At 36.3% G+C, this 22,480-nt stretch overlaps 1 protein-coding gene across 4 annotated transcripts in view; it reads right to left on the reverse strand.

Annotated features, from left to right (window-relative positions):
• SESTD1 (SEC14 and spectrin domain containing 1) overlaps positions 1 to 22,480 on the reverse strand; it is a 163,155-nt gene that overhangs the window by 126,674 nt on the left and 14,001 nt on the right. The window contains exon 1 of one of the 4 annotated variants that reach the window (XR_007084411.1): positions 1,033 to 1,180. The exons of 1 other annotated variant lie outside the window; for it this stretch is intronic. Coding sequence is in view for 2 of the 3 variants with exons in the window: in XM_047446274.1 (XP_047302230.1) it covers positions 1,033 to 1,037 (5 nt within the window). In the remaining variant the exon portion in view is untranslated. Of the gene's footprint in view, positions 1 to 1,032; positions 1,181 to 22,480 lie in introns of those variants that run through there. 2 more of the 4 variants (XM_047446274.1, XM_047446273.1) reach the window with 2 other exon arrangements.

Raw genomic sequence — 22,480 nt, forward strand, 5'->3', positions numbered from 1 at the left:
TCTCCTTTTTAACAAATATGTCCATGTGTGTAATGGAAGGTTAAAGGAGTTCCATCTTAGGGCTTGCAAATACAGTGGCAGAAAAGATGTTGCAATGACTTTGCCTTAAGATACAAGCCTGTGGTGGGAATGGGGTCTGTCTTTAATGAAGGCACATACTGTAGAACTAGGGACTCATCCTACATCAGGAAAGAACACAGGCTTCATCTTGAATGCTAACCCAGGCCGTTGGCATTATACGGACACACTAAGTAACCTACTCTGGTTTCAGTAGGGAAAAAATTATCAACTGAAATGAAGTTTCATAACTCATGGGTTAATCAAGGTGTTAGTGGCCATGTAAATACAAATCCTCCAATATAACCTTCAAAAGCTAAAAAGACTAACAAGAAGAACAAATAAAACCATACAAATTTCACGCTTTTAATACAAGACAAACTAACTTCAAATTATGTAAAGTAGAAAACATAAACTCCATTCTAGTGGAGATATTAATCAAGCTCTTCCCCTAACCTATTAGAGAGGACAGATAGATCTAGGGGGAGAAAAATTTTGCAAACACAAAGTGGGGGCTGGAGGCAAGGACAGAAAGCCTAAAATTAAACTAAAATCATCCACAGAAAAAGAAAGCCCAGTCTACGTGAAAAAATCCTCAAGAAGACCACTCATAGATGAGAGAAAATTATAGGGAAGGGATTTAAAAGTGCAGGGAGGATTCAAGGAGGTAGTCTTGATAAGGTAATGCATCAAGGGTGTGATGGTAAATTTCACGTGTTAACTTGACTGGGCCATGAGATGCCCAAATATCTGGTTAAACATTATGTCTGGTTATGTCCATTACAGTGTTTACGGAAAAGACGAGCATTTGAATTTGTGGAATAGGTAAAGCCATTACTTTCCCCAATGTAAGTGAGCATCATTCAACTTGTTAAGAGCCCAAACAGAACAAAAGGAGGGAAAAAGGCCGAATTCTCTCTATCTGCCTTATAGCTTGAAACATCAGTTTTCTCCTACCCTTGGGCTGGAACTTACACCATTGTTGCTCCTAGTCCTCAGGCCTTCAGACTGACTGGAATTTACACCACAGGTCTTCCCAGGTCTCCAGTTTGCAGATGGTGGGACTTCTCAGCCTCCGTGATTACATGAGCCAGTTTCTTACAAAAAAATCTCGTTCTAGATATAGATATACATATGTTTTTAGATATATATCTATGTAACTCTCCATCCTTTTGTTTCTATTTCTCTGGAGAGCCCTGAGTAATACAAACAAGGACGGCGGTAAAAAGAAAATAATGTGTGTTTTTGGAAATTAGATGATGAAAAAAGAAACGAAAAAGAAAGTTTCAGATTCTGTAAGGTTCTTATATACATAAAGAAATTTAAGATTTTGTAAGAACTTATATATATATATATATATATATATACTCAAATACACACACACACACACACACACACACACACACACAACCCTACTTGAGAAACACAAAATCCTCTCCCTCAAAAGGTGAAAAAAAGCCATCCAACAAACAAACCAAACTGTGCTACACTGACAGAAGAGGACATTCCTGAATTAGTAATCTCATAAAACCCCCTAAAACAACAGCCCTGCTCATAGTCACACATAGTTGTTGCAATCTTCATCTATATAAAATTTCTAAAATAAAAAATAACGTTAGGACAATTAAGCTAATGAAAAGCACCCCCAAAAAACCAACAACAAAGTAGAAGATTTTAATAAATATTCCAAACTGGATTGTATCTCTTTTTTTTTTTTTTTTTTTTTTTTTTTTTTTTTTTTTTGAGACAGGGTCTCACTCTGTCACCCAGGGTGGAATGCGGTAGCGCGATCTCAGCTCACCCCAACCTCCACCTCCTGGGCTCTCAAGTGATCTTCCCACCTCAACCTCCTCAGTAGCTGGGGCTACAGGCACACACCACCATATCCGGCTAATTTTTGTATTTTTTGTAGAGAATGAGTTTTGTCATGTTGCCCAGGCTGGTCTCAAACCCCTGGGCTCAAGCCATCTGCCCACCTCAGCCTCCCAAAGTTCTGGCATTACAGACATGAGCCACTGCACCCGGCCTGAATTGTATCTCTTTAAACAAGCACTTAGGAGTATGAAAACCATCATAAATCAGAAATATAAACCTGAAAATAGAATGGGCAAAAATAAATAAATAAATAAGAGAAAAGGTGAGGACTAAATTCCTGCTCAAAAATAGAGTAAAACCTTAATAAAAGGCACTGAGGAAAACAGGAAAAGAACCAAGAGAATGAAAATGAGATAACGCGGTAAAAAAAATAATCACAGGAACAGTTGGTAAAATGGAAGCTAAACAGAGAAGGTATAATTATATGAGTAACTGAAGTCCCTGCAGAAGAAAAAGAAAATATTAGAACAGAATTAATATTTAAAACTATAATCCAAAAAAAAATTTGCAGAAACAAAAAAAATCTGATTCTACATATTAAGAGAACCCACTAATGTAGCAAGGAAAATTGACCTGTTAAAATCAATTCTAAAATATATTATAGTAAAACTATTAGACTTTAAAAATATGAGAAGGGAAAGATCCAAGAATTCCAAACAAAAGATTCAAGCAACTTACAGGGGCAAGAAAATTAAGACTGGCATCAGACTTCTCAAAACAACAAAACATATAGAAAGCAAGGCCACATTATAAAAAGGGAAAGTGTGAACCAAGGACTTATTTCCACCCAACCTGTACTACCAATATTAAGGCTACAGGAGAACAATTTTTAATATGCAGGAACTCAAGGAAAATTGTGGTCACCATGAGTTCTTCTTAAGAAATCCACTAAAAGCTGAGCTATATCTAACCAATAGGTAAACTTCAGCAAAAGAACTGGTGGTGAAATTTTAATATATTTAATTGTAGATCTAAGAGCAAAACGAAGTTGCAGTTAAGGATTGAGGATGAAACAGACATAATGCAACTGAAGAAAATGGAAAAAGAGAAAAAGAAAAATGTAAAATAAACTTTTGTTGAAATAGCAATAGATAAGAATTATAGGACACCATTAAAAACAACATAATAGATAGTATAAACTTAAATAAGAAAACAAAGAAATGAGGACATTTAAAAAAGGCATAAACATACAAGTAGCTGCTACAACAACAAACAGCAAAGCCTAAATATCCAAAAAAAAAGAAATTTAAAGATGAAAAGGCAAAGAAAGCACATCATAGAGAAATAAAGAAAAATAGAACAATGTACACAGTATTTATAACATAAGAGTTGAAATCAAACATAAGTCATTAAAAATTTTTTCATTTGGCTATTAAAAAATACCTAATAAATGCTTATTCAAGAGATAACCTAAAACAGTATAGACCAAAAAGCTAAAAAAAAAAAAAAATTTAAAAAATTTAAAAAAAAAGGGATAAGCAAAGGCATACAAAGCAAATAGAAACAGTAAGGAAGCAAGAGTAATGATCTTGATACTAAAGAAGACTCAAATCAAAAAGCCTTAAATATGACACAGAGAAACACTGTTTAACGTTAGAAGCTGCAATTCACATGAAGACATAACCATCGTGTATGCCTATCATCACATAGCAACTACTTTTAAAAAGCAGAAACTACAGGGATGTACAGACATAGGAACATAACTTTAATAATACGTAAGACTGAAAACACTTATAAACTGAACTGAAAACTACATACCCTGATAATAAAAACTGTACCTCCTTCTCAAATGGACATCAATATTGACCAAAAAAAGTGCACACATATTAGGTAATTTAAAAAGCAACAGTATATTTTATGAAGTAGTAATAATGCAAACACTCTGATCATAATTCTAACAAAACCAGATATTAACAAAACTAAAAACAAAAATGGCATTCTACCTCAAAATTATACATTTTCCAAAAAAAGATACAAAATTATATATTTAATAACCTGAACAGAGGAAAATCTGTAGCTTTGAACATTTATATCAATAGTAAATTCATAATTCAAAAAGAACAAACTAAACTAAAACAGAGACTAGAAATAATAAAGACAAAATAAATCAGCTGGGTGGAGAATTTTAAAAATCACATCATAAATCAAAATCCTGGAATTTTTTTAAGTAAATGAACAAGGTTAATCCAGAAAAAAAAGAGAAAGCACAAATTCAAAGTAAGAAGCGACAAGGGAGACGACACATTTCAACAATATAAAAACACGTATTACAAAGATTATTTATTGCAGTGTCATTTATAATTGGAAAATACAATCAGAAATAACCTGAATGTCCACAAATGGGAAAGTGATTGAATAAACAAGCTGTAGATCCACACAATGGAGTACTATGCAGCTCTAAAAATTAATAAAGAGATCTCTATATCATTATAAAATATAGATATCCAGTATATACTGTTAAGTCGGAAAAACAAAATACAAAAGAATATATGCAGTGTTCTACTTTTTGTATAGGAAAGAAGATATACATTTATCTGTCCATTTTGTGTACAGAGAACCAAAAGAACTATATACATGAGAAACTAATCAGGATAATCGCCTAGGAAGCAGAGGATAAGGGATGGAGAAGATGAGTGGAGAAGTGGTAGAAAAGATGGGAGGTATGATCAACACTTTTCTGTGTATAGCTTTCTGTATGGTTCTGACTTTTGGAACCATGTTAATGCTTAATATACTCAAAGAAATATGGAGATCCACAAAGATGAGAAAGCAAAAAAATTCTAAGATGGAAATCAAACAAAACAAATGTCTCTATTGGTATTTCAAATGACTCAGGGAAAATTTAGGAAGAAAGGAAGACCTAACCACCAAAGTAACTTTTGAACACAGTATTTTTACTACGTATTCTCAGGATGTAAACAAAAGAGAACCGTAAGTAAACACTGAGTTCCAGTAAGTGGGTTTGCTTTTTATAGTGTTAAGGATTAGCAATTCTAAATTACTTTTTGTATATTCTAAGATTGAGCAAATAAGTAAATATACTGTGAACAACAGAAACCAGACTTCCTACTGTTAAAGGTAGTTACAAATACGGAAAGTGCAGAAGGAGGCTAGAATGAAACCGGTAATGATGGCTGGCACAGGAATATGTCTTCATAGTTTTTTTTTGCTTTTGCTTTTGTTTTTTTAAGATGGAGTCTCGCTCTGTCACCCAGGCTGGAGTGCAGTGGCAGGATCTCAGCTCACGGCAACCTCTGCCTCCTGGGTTCAAGCAATTCTCTTGCCTCAGTCTCCCAAGTAGCTGGGGTTAGAGGCGCATACCACAGTGCCCAGCTAATTTTTGTATTTTTAGTAGAGACAGGGTTTCACCATGTTGGCCAGGCTTGTCTCAAAATCTTGACCTCAACTACTCCACCTGCCTCAGCATCTGAAAGTGCTGGGATCACAGGCATGAGCCACCACATCCATCGTATTCATAGTTTTTATACAGAGATAGATACAGGGATACATGCATGCATGCATGCGTGTGTGTGCACATGGCCTGGCATGTGTGCATGTGTGTATGTGTATGCATGCCCTGGTGTGTGTGCATGTGTGTATGCTTACCCTGGCTCTGTACACTTGGGGGGCTCTGATGGTTAATTTCAGTAATTTCAGGTGTTGACTTGACTGGGCCACAGTGTGTCCAGGTATTTGGTTAAACATTTTCTTGTTTTCTGTAAGGGTGTTCTGGATAAGATTTACATTTTAACTGGTAGAGTAAATCAGTTTGCCCTCCGTAATGCAGGTGGGCCTCATCAAATCAGTTGAAAGCATGAGTAGAACAAAAAGACTGACTCTCAGTAAGAGGCATTCCTCCAGCAGGACTGCCTTCAGACTTCATTTACAACATCAGCTCTTCCACAACATCAGCTCTTCCTGCCTGATGGCCTTCAAACTAGAACATCGGCTCTCTCTGGGTCTCCAGCCTGCTTGCTGACTCTGCAGATTAGACTTACCAGCCTCCATGATCATGTAAGCAAATCCCTTTAAATAAATAAATAAATAAATAGACATCTCTCAGTAACATGAGTGCCCAGATCTTGATTTCTAAATAACATTCACACTAAAAAGAATTAGGGCTGCTTGAAAATATGACAGATTTCAAGGCTGGATAAGGTAAGTACAAGATGACTCTGAAACACTTATTGCCAGAATATAAGAAAAGGCTCAGGCCGGACGCAGTGGCTCACACCTGCAATCCCAGCACTTTGTGGGGCTGAGGCGGGTAGATCACTTGGGGTCAGGAGTTTGAGACCAGCCTGGCCAACATGGTGAAACCCCGTCTCTACTAAAAATAGTACGAGTATACATCACCAGTAAAGGAACAAAACAATAGTATGGGTGTCCTGACAAGAGATTCTGAAGACACATCACTTCTGTAGTATTCCAGCCAGAAACGCATAACCTGAATCTAATCATGAGGAAATAGCAGACAAACTCAAATGGCAAAAATATTTCTAAAAAATAACTGACTGGAATTCTTTAAAAAATGTCATTTATCAGCTGGGCACAGTGGCTTTTGTCTGTAATCCCAGTACTTTGGAAGGCTGAGGTGGGAGGATTGCTTGAGGCCAGGAGTTCAAGGCCAGCCTGGGCAACATAGTGAGATCTCATCTCTTTAAAAAAAAAAAAAAAAAGTCATATTATGAAACACAAAGGAAGACTGAGGAAGTGTTCTGTATTAAGGAACCTAAAGAGACATGAAAAACCAAAAGTAACACATATAATCCTGAACTGGAACCTAAACCAGGGGAAACAGTTTCTCTTTCACTTAAAAGGAAATTAGGAAATACTGCAAAATTTAAATAAAGTCTATAGAGTACTGCATCAATGTTAACTTCCTGATACTGACGATTATATTGTGGTTATATATTTTTTAAAAATCCTTATTTAGGGAGACATACTTAGGAATAAAGGGACATAAGTATTTAGGGGCTAAGGGGCATAATGTCTACAAATTACTCCCAAATGGTTCAGAAACAAATACTGTCTCATGAAAATATGAAACCAAATATGGTAAAAAGTTAATATTAGGAGAATGTGGAGTGAAACCTATACAGTAATTCTTTGAATTATCTTTGCAATTTTTCTATAAGTCTGAAATTATTTCAAAATAAAATAAATTTAGGTAAAATTACAGTCATCTGTGACAAGCTTTTCTACGTTATTTCTCAACATATGTCCAAACCCACATACGTATTATAAAAACCAAAGGCAAACACTTAAGAAAACCCTCAAGTTATTCTTTTCCTGTACCCTCTACATGCAATGGCACATAGCCTGCTGATTCTACCCTCTTCTCAACAGCACTATTGCCTCAATTACCATATTACCTTGGAAACATTTCCTGACTCCACTCACCCGCCTTTACGCACTTGCAAAATTAATTCTTTCACTCCATTTGAAAATCCCGAATGGTACTCCACAGCCAATTCTTTTACAAGACTTAAGTCTTTTCCAGATCATCCTCCTGCCTCTCTCTCCACTTCATGTTTTTCTCATTAGCAAGAAACCAAGTGCAACTCTCTGAACTTGCAATACTGTTTCACGGTTTGAGCCCTGGCCTATGATGTCATCTTCGCTGAAATAACATTACTACAATCCTTTGTCCATGAAATTCCTACTCATGCTTTAACCCTATCTTAGATTCACCTTCTCTGTGAAACCTTCCCTGACACAACACTCAAGGTGAGGATGAGTACCCATTCTCTCCCTCCTCAGTGCTACCATTTACCTTCCACTCTATTATGATTATCATTCATCATTATCCATCTCCCCTTCTAACAAGAGCTCACTGACAGAAGGAACCATGTCATTTTTACTTGTTGAATTACTTAATATGAACTCAAATAGCGTTTATTACAATGAGTAATTATATGTAGCCAGGTGTGGTGGCTCACACCTGTAATCCCAGCACTTTGGGAAGCTAAGACAGGAGGATTGCTTGACCCCAAGAGTTCAAGACCAGCCTGGGCAACATAGTGAGACCTCATCTCTTAAAAAAAAAAAAAAAAAAAAAAAAAAAGCTGGGCATGGTAGCACATGTCTACAGCCCTAGCTACTTGCGAGGCTGAGGTGGGAGGACCACTTGAGCCCAGGAGTTTGAGGTTACAATGAGCTACAATCGTGCCACTGCACTCTAACCCGGGCAACACAGAGAGATCCTGTATCTAAAAAGTAATTTTTTTAAATTATATGTACATATACATACACATGACCTGAGCATATAGCAAAGGGTAGATGTTAAGAAAGCCTCAATCTGTATGTTGACAAGTAAAATCTAAGAAAATGAAAAAATAAATTTCAGTCTGAAAAATATTTAAATAGGGGAGATGACCCGTGCTCTTACTTGTAATTTAATATGTAAGAACAAGTCCTAGACTTAATTATTTTACACTCATGTTTGAAAAAAAATCTGATGTAGTTTTTTTTTTTTTTTTTTAATTTTTATTTGCTATCGTTTGATGATCCAGAACACTTTGTGGTTCACAGGCTTTACAATCATGAGTTGGGACCAAAATAAATGTATGTAAATAGAATAATATAAAACCATATTTTACCAAGTAGTTTTACTTGGTAATATTTAATTACAAGGATCATCTTTTTGGTCAAAGCGTTTTAAAAGCAGTAATTACTGATTTAAAATCAAGTCTATAAAAATATCTAATTAGGTCTTAATCGTATTTTCTTGATCTAAAACCAAACTGATTATATAATCTTCTATCAGAAAAATGTTTAAAAGAAAACATTGCAAATGTTGCACTTGCCCTCCTTTCTAAGGGACAAATGAAATTATTTTCTAATAATGTACATTATTACAGGGACAAATGAAATTATTTTCTAATCCTAAAACAGAGATCCTTAAATCAGTAAAGACATGATAATCTATATGAAAGCTTCTGTGAAAAAAAAAATACCATGACACACAAATATCCATAACCATACTTACAGAAATTAGCACTGCTTTTCCTGTCTTCTTGTGTTTTAATACCCCATTCTCCTGGTTTTTCCGATGACCTTCTGATGTTCACTTTGTGTTAGTCTTTTTGGGGGACTTGGCGTAATTTGATCCTTGTTTACCTGGCCCTTCCCACATTTCCATCGTAGCCTACATTTCCAGGCATAAAATTTAGCATCTATTAAAAACATGTGCTTTACAAAGTCAGGCACTGAGCCAGTTTTTATTTACCATTGTGTGTGTGTCCCTTCCCTACAAGTCCCAAGCATACTGTCAGTGAACATAAGACAAATGGCTAAGTTTGGAGATAATTTTAAGGGCTAATTTTTAAAAAGATTTATTTTCTTTTGAAATAAGGAAAGTGATTTTTTTCCATGGTCCCTTCTGTCAGTAAGCTCATTTTCCAAACTTGTAATATGACACATATGCCAAATATAGAAGCATAAAGGGTAACTTCAAAATCTGCCCTCAATGTTTGAGTACAGAGACTTGCCCCACCCCTGCTCATCAGAGACTCCATGGGAGTCAGTATCTTTATCTCTTGCCAGAATAACAGAGATCCAGTCATGGCATACAAATTTGGAAATGAAACTGTAAGTATTAATTGTAAGTGGACCTTTGAGCAATACAGGGATTATGGGCACCTGCCCTCCACATAGTCAAAAATCCACATGTAACTTCAGACTCCCCAAAAACTCAGCTACTAAGAGCCTACTGCTGACCAGAGCCTTACCAATAACATAAAAGCAATTAACATATATTTTGTATATGTACTATATACAATATTCTTACAATAAAGCTAGAGAAAATAAAATCTTATTAAGAAAATCAAAAGAAGAGAACATATATTTACTATTCATTAACTGGAAGTGGATCATCAAAAATGTCATCATCCTTGTTGTCTTTACATTGAGTCAGTTGAGAAAGTGGAGGAAGAGGATAGGTTGGCCTTGCTGTCTCAGGGGTGACAGATATAGAAGAAAAGCCACATAAAGTGAACCCATCTGGTTCAAACCTATTGTTCAAGGATCAACTGTACAATCATACTAGTAAGTCCACAGAAAACTGTTGGCATAATAAAATTAACGCCTTCTCATGGCCTTAGAAATCCTGTCATGATCAAATTTCTTCAAAATTCTTAGATTCCATAAAAATATATATTAAATAAAAGTTACAGCTTATACATTTAGAAAAACAAAATTTGACAAATACTTTGACAATTATCTAATAATGTTCTTATTACCATTCCTAGAGATTAACCTAATATGAAGCATCAGCCCCTTTGAAGTAGTCCCCTCAGTCATGCCAGTTTCTGTAAGAAACTAGAAACTTATTGCTCAATAAATTACTATGTGTAGGGAAAAAGGTCAGTGTTATTTTATAATTCTTTCTGTGCTTTGGAGTCATAATATAATAAACCAAATTGAGTATATGGCCCTAAAATAAATAATGAACTAGAGCACCTAATTTCTTCTTCCTCAGAGGAAAGGCTTTGTTGTCACAAAGTTAATTGAATTCTTATCTTTGAGTCTATTTTTTCTCTATGTTCTTTATTAACTGACCTCTTTTCTCCTTCTTTTCTTCCTCTGCCTTGCCCTCGTTTTCTTATCCCTAACTGCTTTTATTATTAGAAACTAAAAGTCTGTCAGTCTCTTAAATTAAATACATTAACTACTTACATGCCAAATGTTTACACCAGTTTTATCATAAGAAATTCAAGAGTGTCTCATTTATTAATCACGACTAATGTTTGATTTCTCTGCTGTAGCAGTAAATTATTTATTATCTATATTTGTGCCAACTATGTATCTTAGTATCTGACAAAAGTAAACACTTGAAGTGAGATTAAGACTATTAATTCAACAAAAGTCTACAGTATCAATGGATTATATAGGATGCTATAAGCTCTGTACTGTTCCTGCAACCACCTTTTAAAAAAATGAATAGAGAATTTTTTTTTAAATCTTTGAGAGAATAATCCTGAATTCTGTTATTTCATATTGTCTACAGAAATTTAATTACTGCCACAAAATGTTTTCTTCCTTTTGCAAACCAGCTCATAGTTCATATAATGACTCTCCTGGATGAGTCATCTGCAGGAAGTACAAGGTTTTTTTTTTGAATCTGCTAAGGTAAAGACTTTGAAGTATAAAGTTAAAAGCTGCACAGCTGGAAGCATTCTGGGAAAGAACTTTAAAAGTGACTGAAACCACTGGTATTCACTTATATTTTAACCCAGCTACACATTAGAATCATGTGGGGAGCTTTTAAAAAATATAAATGTGAGAGCCCCAGTTCAAATCAACTGAATGACAATCTCTGGGTTTAGACCTAGGCACAGGAATTATTTCAGAGCCCCCCAGGTAAACAACATATGCAGCTAGGATTCAAAACCACTGGCCAAGTCTTTATCATTATTAAGATAGATTAAAACAATAAGGCATCATTTAGCACTACTAACGCTTTATTCTTAAAGAAATGCCATTTAACTACATGCAAACCTTAAATTATCTACTATTCCAATGTTTAAGTCCAATACTCAACAAAGAGTAGATGCTCCACAATCAGTGACTGGTGATACTGATATATTAACAACCAATTTACAATCATTACCTTACTTTAGAAGGACAATCAAACTATTCTGGTGCAGAACATATTATTTTGACATTTTTCAATAGTTCCAGCTTCACATCTTCTGAAACAACTGATGATCCAGTCAAATACCTAACAGCTTGCAGATTACAAGGTGATGAGACACATGGCCTTGAGATGAACGATTGGTGCATTTCAGACAGAAGAACAAATTGATCAAGGTCATGGTATACAGACAGTAGAAACGCAGAATCCTATAGAATAGAATTCTATAGAACATCAAATGGTGTAACAGAGACACACAGGAGTAGTTGGAAGAGGAGAGAAAAGCTAAGATTCTTCACAGATTAAGAAGCTCTCTGAATAACAGACGAAGAAACTTAGATGATGATCTACAGGCAACAGAGAGTCACTGGAGGTTTTCTAAAAGGAGTGACTTGGTGTTCTACTTCCTGGAAGATGGAGTAGATACAATTTTTCCTATTCCTCTCACTAAGTACAAATAAAAGTGCTACACATTACATATAAAACAAGCCTAAGAAGTCTGTGAACGGTAGAGAAAGGAACACAGACTGACTAGGGGCCTCAGGACCTAAGATTAAGTTTCCCTTGAGTTTTCTTTTTGCCTAATTACATCTCAGACTTGCAGCTGTAAAACCGGCAACCTGGAAATAACAATAGGAGAAGACAAAAATAAAGCCCCAACAAAAGCCGCCAGTCAAAAGACCAGGAAGGAGCAGTCCAGCAAGAAAAAAAACTTTAGACAAAAAAAGTGCTACTCTAGCCCAAAATACACAAAACACTGGCCTCACCCTCACCCATGCCAGAAGGTCAAGTGGAGGGCCTAGACTTTCATTCTTGAAAGTCTGTAAGGAGGCATATAACACCCCTCAGGAGTGTGAAGTGAGAGAAAGCCAAGTAGGGATCCAACACATTCATCTAGTAATGATCTCCCACCTCCAACATCCCCCATCCCTGTTGTGTGAGTGGAGCCCAGTGGAGCCCACAAGGGGCGCTGTTAGAATGATCTGACAATGATTTTAAAGCAGCCATGATGAAAATGCTTCCACAAGGAATTATGAACATGTTTAAAACAAAAAAAAAGAAACCCTCACTAAGAAAACAGACAATCTTGGCAAACAAACAGAAAATATAAGTGAACCAAATGGAAACTTTAGAACCAAAAAATACAATAATTAAATAAAAGTGCAGTAAATGGGATAAAAAGCAGAATGAGGGCACAAACAAAGGAAATCAATAAAATAGAATATAGTAGAAGTTGCATGATAATATCAAGAACACAGGTGGAAGAACAAATGAACAGATCCTCAAGGACCAGTGAGACTATATGAAAGATCAAACATTTGTTTCACTGGAGTCCCAGAAGCAGAGGAGAAAGGGAGGGGAGGACTGAAAAAGTACTTGAAGAAATTAAGGGCTAAAAACTTCCCCAATTTGGCAAAGAACCCAAACATAAAGAAGGTGAATGAAGCGGAAAGAGGAGGGACACACACAAAAAAAATCTGTGCCAAGTTACACCCTAATTAAACTTTTGAAAACTAAGGACAAAGAAAGCATTCAGAAAATAAATGGAATCTTATCTACAAGAGAAAACAAAAATAATTCAAATGAAAGCAGATTGCTCATCAAAAGCCACCAAATGAAGTGGCTCATGATGGGGGCTCAAGCAGGAAGATTGCTCGGGCCAGTTCAACACCAGTCTTGGCAATATAGCAAGACTCTCATCTTTAAAAAAAAAATTTAGGGCCGGGCACAGTGGCTCACGCATGTAATCCCAGCACTTTGGGAGGCCAAGGCAGGCAGATCACGAGGTCAGGAGATCGAGACCATCCTGGCTAACACGGTGAAACCCTGTCTCTACTAAAAATACAAAAAATTAGTCAGGCATGGTGGCGGGTACCTGTAGTCCCAGCTACTGGAGAGGCTGAGGCAGGAGAATGGCATGAACCCAGGAGGCGGAGCCTGCAGTGAGCTGAGATCATGCCATTGCACTCCAGCCTGGGTGAAAGAGCGAGACATTGTCTCATAAAAAAAAAAAAAAAAAAATTAAGAACAGGCAGGAAGGCCTAGAGGGAGCAATTGAGCAAGAGGAAGAAATAAGAGGCATATATGTAAGAAAAGAAGTCAAATTATCTGTTTTCATTATAATATGATTGTATACCTAGAAAACACTAAAGCCTTCATCAAAAGGCTCCTAGAACTGATAAATGGGCTCAGTAGAGTCTCAGGATACAAAATCAATGTACAAAAATCAGTAGCACTTCTATATGCCAATAACATTCCAGGTGAGAGCCACATCAAAAATACTATCCCATTTACAATAGCCACACACACACAAATAAAATACCTAGGAATACATCTAACCAAGGAGGTAAAAGATCCCTACAAAAAGAACTACAAAACACTACTTAAACAAGTTATAGAGAACTAATGGAAAAACATTACATGTTCATGAATTGGAAGAATCAACATCATTAAAATGGCCATACTGCCCAAAGCAATCTACAGATTTAATGCAATTCCTATCAAACAACCAATGTCATTTTTCACAGAATTAGAAAAAACTATTCTAAAATTCATCTGGAACCAAAAAACGACCCAAGTACCCAAAGCAATTCTAAGCAAAAAGAACAAAGCCAGAGGTATTACATTACTCAACTTCAAACAATACTATAAGGCTACAGTAACCAACACAGCATGGTACTGGTACAAAAACAGACACATGGACAAATGGAACAGAAAAGTGAACCCCAAAATAAAGACAAACCTCAGCCATCTGCTCTTCAACAATACAAGCAATGGGAAAGGACTCCCTATTCAAATAAATGGTGCTGGGATAATTGGCTAGCCACGTGCAGAAGAATGAAACCGGACAGTACCTTTTACCACATACAAAAATTAACTCAAGATGAATTAAAGACTTAAATGTAAGACCTAAAAGCATAGAAATCCTAAAAGAAAACCTAGGAAATACCATTCTAGACATCAGCCTTGGCAAACAATTCATGACTAAGTCCTAAAAAGCAAGTGCAACAAAAACAAAAATTGACAAGTGGTACCTAATTAAACTAAAGAGCTTCTGCACAGCAAAAGAAACTATCAACACAGTAAACAGACAACCTACAAAATGGAAGAAAACATTCACAAATTATGTATCTGACAAAGGTCTAATATCCAGAATCTATAAGGAACTTAATCAATTCAACAAGCAAAAAACAACCCTATTAAAAAGTGGGCAATAGACATGAACAGACATACAAGCAGCCAACAAACTTGAAAAAAATGCTCAATATCACTAGTCATCAGAGAAATGCAAACATACCTGTCAGAATGGCTATTATTAAAAAGTCAAAAAAAATGACAGATGCTGGCAAGGCTGCAGAGAAAGGGAAACATTTATATACTGTTAGTGGGAATGTAAACTGGTTCAGCCAGTGGGGAAAGCAGTTTGGAGATTTCTCAAATAACTTAAAACAGGACTACCATTCGACCCAGCAATCCCATTACTGGGTATATATCCAAAAGAAAATAAATTGTTCTACCAAAAAGACACATGCACTTTTATGTTCATTGCAACACTATTCACAATAGCAAAGACATGGAATCAATCTAGGCACCCATCAATGGTGGACTGGATAAAGAAAATGTGGTACAAATGTACCATGGAATACTATGTAGCCATAAAAAAGAAGGAAATCAAGTCCTTTGCAGCAATATGGATGCAGCTAGAGGACATCATCGTAAGTGAATTAACAAAGAAACAGAAAACCAAATACCGCATGTTCTCACTTGTAAGTGGGAGCTAAACTACGGGTACACATGGACATAAAGATAACAAGAGACACTGGGGCTACTAGAGGGGAGAGGGTGGGTGGGGGCTAAGGGCTGAAAAACAACCTATTGGGTACTTTACTCACTACCTGGGTGACAGGACCATTCATACCCTAACTTCAGCATCATGCACTACACCCATGTAACAAACTACATATGTACCCCATGAATCTAAAATAAAAGTTTAAATTATTAAAAATATATATATATGTGTGTGTATATATATATATATATACACACACACACACACACACAAATGAGGTGGTGTACACTTGTATCCTAGCTACTTGGGAGGCTCCAGCAGGAGCCTCACTAAGCCCAGGACCTTGGGGCTGCAGTGAGCTATGATCTTGCCACTACATTACAGCCTGGGTGACAGTACAAGATTCTGTCTCTAAATCTCTAAAAAACTGAATGAATTAATTAATTTTTAAATAAAACAAAACCAGCTGGATGTAGTGGCTCACACCTGTAATCCCAGCACTTTGTGAGGCCAAGGCAGGTGAATTGCTTGAGATCAGGAGTTCAAAACCAGCCTGGCCAACATGGTGAAACCCCGTCTCTTACTAAAAATACAAAAAATTAGCCAGGCATGATGGCCCACGCCTGTAGTCCTAGCTACTCGGGAGGCTGAGACAGGAGAATCACTTGAACCCAAGAGGTGGAGGCTGCAGTGAGCCGAGATCACACCACTGCACTACAGCCTGGGAGATACAGTGAGACTCTGTCTCAAAAAAAACAAACCAACAAAAAAAAAAAACATGGAGGCCAGAAGGGAGTGGTACAATATTTTTCAAGTGATGAAGCAAGACTATCAACCCAGAATCCTCTACTCAGTAAAAATATATTATAGGCTAGAGGGAGAAATCAAAACATTCTCAAATGAAGAAAAACTAAGCAAAACTTTTTCCAACATACATACCTCAAAAGAATGGCTAAAAGAAATTTTCTAAATAGAAAGATAATGGTAAAAGAGGAAACCACAGAAAAGCGGGAACAAACAAAAAAAGGTAGTTAAGCAAAAATATGGGAAAATACAATAGGCTTCCTTTGTCTTGAGTTGTCTAAATTATGTTTGACACCTGAAGCAAGGATATAGCTGTCTGACATGATTCTAAATGTGTGTACAGGAAACACTGTAAGATGATTATATTACAAATGGGGTAAAGAGCCATAAAGGAGGTAAGACTTCTACACTTCACTCAAACTGGTTAAATGATGACAACAGTAGACTGTAATAAATTATGTATATACAATTAATAGCTAGAGCAACCACCAAAAAAGATACACAAAGAGATACACTCAAAAACGAAACACATGAATCAAAATAGAATTCTAACATCGCTTGCTGGGTATGGTGGCTCATGCCTGTAATCCAGCATTTTGGGAGGTTAAGGCAGGAGTATTGCTTCCGTCCAGGAGTTTGAGACCAGCCTGGGCAACACAGCATGTTGGCAACATAGCAAGACCCTGTCTCTACAAAATATTTTTAAAAATTAGCCAGATGAGCTGGGCACGTTGGCTCACGCCTGTAATCCCAGCACTTTAGGAGGCTGAGGCGGACGGATCATGAGGTTAGGAGTTCCGAGACCAGCCTGGCCAATATGGTGAAACCCTGTCTCTATTGAAAATACAAAAATTAGCCAGGTGTGGTGGCACATGCCTGTAGTCCCAGCTACTCAGGAGGCTAAGGCAGAAGAATCACTTGAACCCGGGAGAGGGAGGTTGCAGTGAGCCGAGATTGTGCCACAGCACTTTAGCCTGGGCGACAGAGTGAGACTCTGTCTCAAAAAAAAAAAAAAAAAAAAAAAAAAAGTAGCCAGATATGGTGGCACACACCTATGGTCCTAGCTACTTAGGGGGAGCTGAGGTGGGAGGATCACTCAAGCCCAGAGGCTGCAGTGAGCTGTGATGGCACCAGTGCACTCCAGCCTGGGCAACAGAGTGAGACCCTGTCTCAAAAAAATAAAATATGCTCAAATAACCCATAAAAAGGGAGGAAAAAGAAAACAGACAAAAGAGAAACAGGGATGAACAGAAAATAAAATGGCAGACGTAAGCCCTAACATAGCAACAACTACAGTAAATATATTACTCTAAATATATTCATTAAAAAACATGTTAATAGAGTAGATTAAAAAACATCACCCAACTAATTGCTCCCTACAAGAAACTCACTTCAAATATACTAAAAAGGCAACCTCAAAGTAAAAGGATGGAAAAAATAAATCATGTAAACATTAACCAGGCTGGGCACAGTGGCTCACGCCTATAATCGCAACACTTTGGGTGGCCAAGGCGGGCGGACCACAAGGTCAGGAGTTCGAGACCAGCCTGGTCAATGTGTCGAAACCCCGTCTCTACTAAAAACACAAAAATTAGCTGGGTGTGGTGGCGTGCGCCTGTAATCCCAGATACTCAGGAGGCTGAGGCAGGAGAATTGCTTGAACACAAGAGGCAGAGGTTGCAGTGAGCCAAGATCATGCCACTGCACTGCGGCCTGGGTGATAGAGTGAGACTCCATCTCAAAAAAAAAAAAAAAAAAAAAAAATTAACCAAAGAAAAGTGAGAATGGCTATACCAGAGATAGAGATGTACATTTTATAATGATAAAAGGGCCAATTCATCAAGAAGACATAGCAATCCTAAATGTGTACGCACCAAATAACAAAGCTGAAAAATATGTGAAGCAAAAACTAAAGAACTAAAAAGACAAATGCACAGTTATAACTGCAGATATCTCTTCAGTATCTCTCGCTCTCTTTCTCTCTCTCTCAAGTGTTTATCACACAAGTGTCTATCGAACAACTACACAGAAAATCAACAAGGATACAGAAGAACTCAACACTACATCAACCAACCAGATCTAATCAACATTTATAAAACAGTCTACCACAAAACAGGAGAATATAAATTTCTCCCCAAATGCACATGGATCACAGACTAAGATAGATCAAACCAAGATAGACCTGAGCAATAAAGCAAATCTCAACAAATTTAAAATAACAAAATCATACAGAATCTCTTCTCCGACCAATATGGACTCAAACTAGAAATCAATAACAGAAAGATAAAAGAACAATCTTCAACCACTTAGTAACCAAGTAACATTTCTAAAAAATCTCATGAGAAGGTGGCAGAGTGAAAGTAGGTTAATGGTAAAAACTTGTTGGAAAGATCTACTCAGCAGTCTGACCAAATCCAACTTTGAGGAGTTTATGAAATAGGAATTATTCTCCCATTATATATATTTTTTATTTTTTTCTCTGCTTTGTCCATGTTGAGGATGGTCTCCCACTTTCAGATTCCACTTGGGCACATATTCTTTTATTACCTACCCAGGTAATATTTATAACTACAATAGTGGTGAAGGCTGGGCACATATTTTTAAAGTATTAATTTTACTGATTTTTCTAATTGACAAATAATTGTACATATTCACGTAGTACATAGTAATGTTTTGATATATAATGCATGCTGATCAGATCAGGGTAGTTTTTTTTTTTTAATTCCAACTTTGTTTACATTATATAAGACCATTTTATCTAATAAAAGCCTAAGTCTAGATGCTGTATGAGGGATAAGCATATTAAAAAATAAATAAATGAAGCATAAGTTCTTATAACATTTACAAAAATCTAGAAAACTCAGCTTTAGAAGATGGAAGCTGCCCAAATATTTTGTTTGTTTTTGTTTTTGTTTTTGTTTTAAGAGACAGGGTCTTTCTTGCTCTGTCACCCAGGCAGGAATGCAGTGGCACCTTCTTAGTTAACTGCAGCCTAGAACTCTTTGTCTCACACAATCCCTCCCACATCAGCTCCTAAGTAGCTAGGACTACAGGCATGTACCACCACACCTGGCTAATTTGTTAAATTTTTTTTTTTTCTTTTTTTGTAGAGACAAGATCTCGTTATGTTGCCTAGGCAGGTCTTGAAGTCCTAGGCTCAAGGGATCCTCCTGCCTTGGTCTCCCAAAGGGCTAGGGTTATAGGCATGAACCACCGTGCCTGATTAAAGGATGTTATTTCTGACAATATTATTTAGGATGGTAAATAATTAGCAATGACTTAAATGTACAGCAGATACAGGAATAAACAGAAATTTACACTACCTAAGAGCCAAACAGGAAGTCTCAAGGAAAATAAAAAAATACATTGAACTGAATGAAAAATGAAACTACAATATATCCAAATATATGGAACATAGCTAAGGCAATGCTGAAGGGAAATTTATAGCACTAAATGCATACATTAGAAAAGAGAAAAAATCTCAAACCAATAATTTAAGCTCCCATCTCAAGAGCAAAATAAACCCAAAGCAAGCAGAAGGGGGAAAAAAGGCAAAGAAAAACAGAGACGACACAGATTACCAGTATCTGGAATGCAACAGAGATCTCATGGCAGACTCTGCAGACAGCAAAATAGAGTACTATGAACACCTCTACACATTTTTAGACTAAATGGGCCACTTCCTCAAACTATCACAACCCATCTAATATAAAATAGATAATTTGAATAGTTCTTTAGTTATCAAGTAAAATAAATTCACAGTTTATAAAACTCAAAAAGAAAAAAGAAAAAAAGAAATCTCCAAGCCCAGGTGGAGAAGTCAACAAAATACTTTAAAAGGAATTAACACCAATTCTACACCAGATACAGAAGAGGAGGAAACACTTTCCATTTCATTTTAAGTTAGTATTACCCTGATGCCAAAACTAGGCAAAGACATGAATATAAACCTAAGAATCCTAAACTAAATATTAGCAAATAGTATTCAGCAATATACAGCAAGATTATACAAAGTAATCAAGGGGGGTTTATTGCAGGGATGGCAAGTTGATTGAATATTAGAAAATCATGTCAACAAGCTAAAGGAGGTAACAATCACATAATCATGAACTCTTGCAAAAAAAAAAGCAATAGGCAAAATTCAGTACCTAAGAAACCTCTTAGAAAAATATGAATAAAGGAGACTTCATCAACTTGATGAAGAGTTTGCATTAAAAACTTAAAGCTAATATTATACTCAATTGTGAAAGACTGAATACTTTTTCCTAAGATAAAGAATATGGCAGCCAGGCACAGTGGCTCAGACTTATAATCTCAGCACTTTGGGAGGCCAAGGTAGGAAAATTGCTTTAGCCCAGGAGTTCAAGACCAACCTGGTCAACGTAGGGAAACCCTGTCTGTACAAAAAAAAAAAAAGAACAAAAAAATTAGCTGGGTGTGGTGGTGCCCACCTGTGGTCCTAGCTACTCAGGAGGCTGAGGTGGAAGGATCACTTGAGCCCAGGAGGTCAAGGCTGCACTGAGCCATGATCGCATCACTGCACTCCAGCCTGGGTGACAGAGTGAGATCCCGTCTTTAAGAAAAAAAAAAAAAAAAAAAGCATGGCAAGTATGTCTACTTTCACCAATCTTTTCAGTACAGTTTTGGAAGTTCTAATCAGTGCAATAACAAGGAAAGGAAATAAAAGGCATACAGATTAAAAAAAAAAAAAAAAAGAAGACTACCCCTATTTGCAAATAATTGCCTATGTAGGAAATCCCAAGAAATCTAGCAAAAATTCCTAGAACTAGTGAGTTCTGTATGGCTGCAGGATATAAGACAAACATATAAAACCCTATTGTATTTCTACATACTAGCAACGAACATATGAACAATGAAATTTAAAAAACAATACCATTTATAATCACTCCAAAAAATTAAATACTTAGTTATAAATCTAACAAAACATGTATAATACTTGTATGCTGGAAACTACAAAATACTGATGAGAGAAATCAAAGAGCTATAAAACATTGAGAGACATAACATGTTCATGGATTTGCAGACTCACTATAGAAACGTGTCAATTCTCTCTGAATTTATATGAGTTAAATGCAATTCCTAGCATAATTCTATCAAAATTCTTTGTAAATACAGAAAAAAATTATCCTAAAAGTTACGTACAGAGGCAAAAAAAGAATACCTAAAACAATTTTGGAAAATAATGCAGTAGAAGGAATCAGTTAACCCAATAAATGAATAAAACAGAAGAGAGAACTCAGAAATAGAAACACACAAATATGCCCAACTGCTTTTTGACAAAGGTACAAAAACAACTCGATGGAGAAAGACTGCCTTTCCTACAAATGGTGGTAGAGCAACTGAATATCCACAGGCAAAAAAAAAAAAAAAGAACCTTGACCTAAGTCTCACACCTTACACAAAATCGATCATGGACTTAAATGAAAAGTGAAAAACTGTAAAACTTTTAGAATAAAAGTCTTCTAAAATTTTCAGGATCTAGAGCTGAAATTTCATCAAAATTAAAAATATTTGCTCTGTGAACAACATGTTAAAACAATGAAAAGACAAGCTACAGAGTGGAATAAATTACTTAACAAACCACATATTCAATAAAGAACTAGTTTCTAGAATACATAGAGAAGGCTTGAAACCCAACAGTTAAAAAAAAAATCCAAATAGAAAATGGGCAGAAGGGCAGAAGTCACAAACAGACAACTCATCAAAGAGGATATACCGATGACAAGCACATGAAAAGATGTTCAACATCATCAGCCACCAGGAAAATGCAAATTAAAACCACGGTGAGACATCACTACAAACTTATCACAATGGCTAAAATAAAAACAGTGAAGAACCAAATTGCAAAAACACTGGATCACTCATTGTATTATTCTCCTAGAGCAATCATAACAAAATACTACAGACTGGGTAGTTTAAACAGCAAAATGTCTTTTCTTACAGTTCCGGAGGTTAGAAGTCCACGATTAAGGTGTCAGCAGGTTTGGTTTCTTCTGAGGCCTCTTACTTTGGCTTGCAGGTACTGCCTTTTCTCTGTGCCCTTTCATGGTCTTTCCTTTGTGTGCACATATCCCTGGTGTCTGTGTGTCCAAATTTCTTCTTTTAAGGACACCAGTCAGATGGATTAGGGGCCACTCTAAAGACCCAATTTCAACTAAAATCACTTTTTAAAAGACCTGTTTCCAAATACAATCACACTCTGAGGTACTAGGGGTTAGAGCTTCACACAACCTATGAAATTTGTGGGGATATAATTCCACCTTTAACATTCATATAGTTAGTGGCAATTTAAAATA

The sequence above is a fragment of the Homo sapiens genome, chromosome 2 (assembly GCF_000001405.40).
Source record: "Homo sapiens chromosome 2, GRCh38.p14 Primary Assembly".
In the NCBI taxonomy this organism is placed as follows: Eukaryota; Metazoa; Chordata; class Mammalia; order Primates; family Hominidae; genus Homo; species Homo sapiens.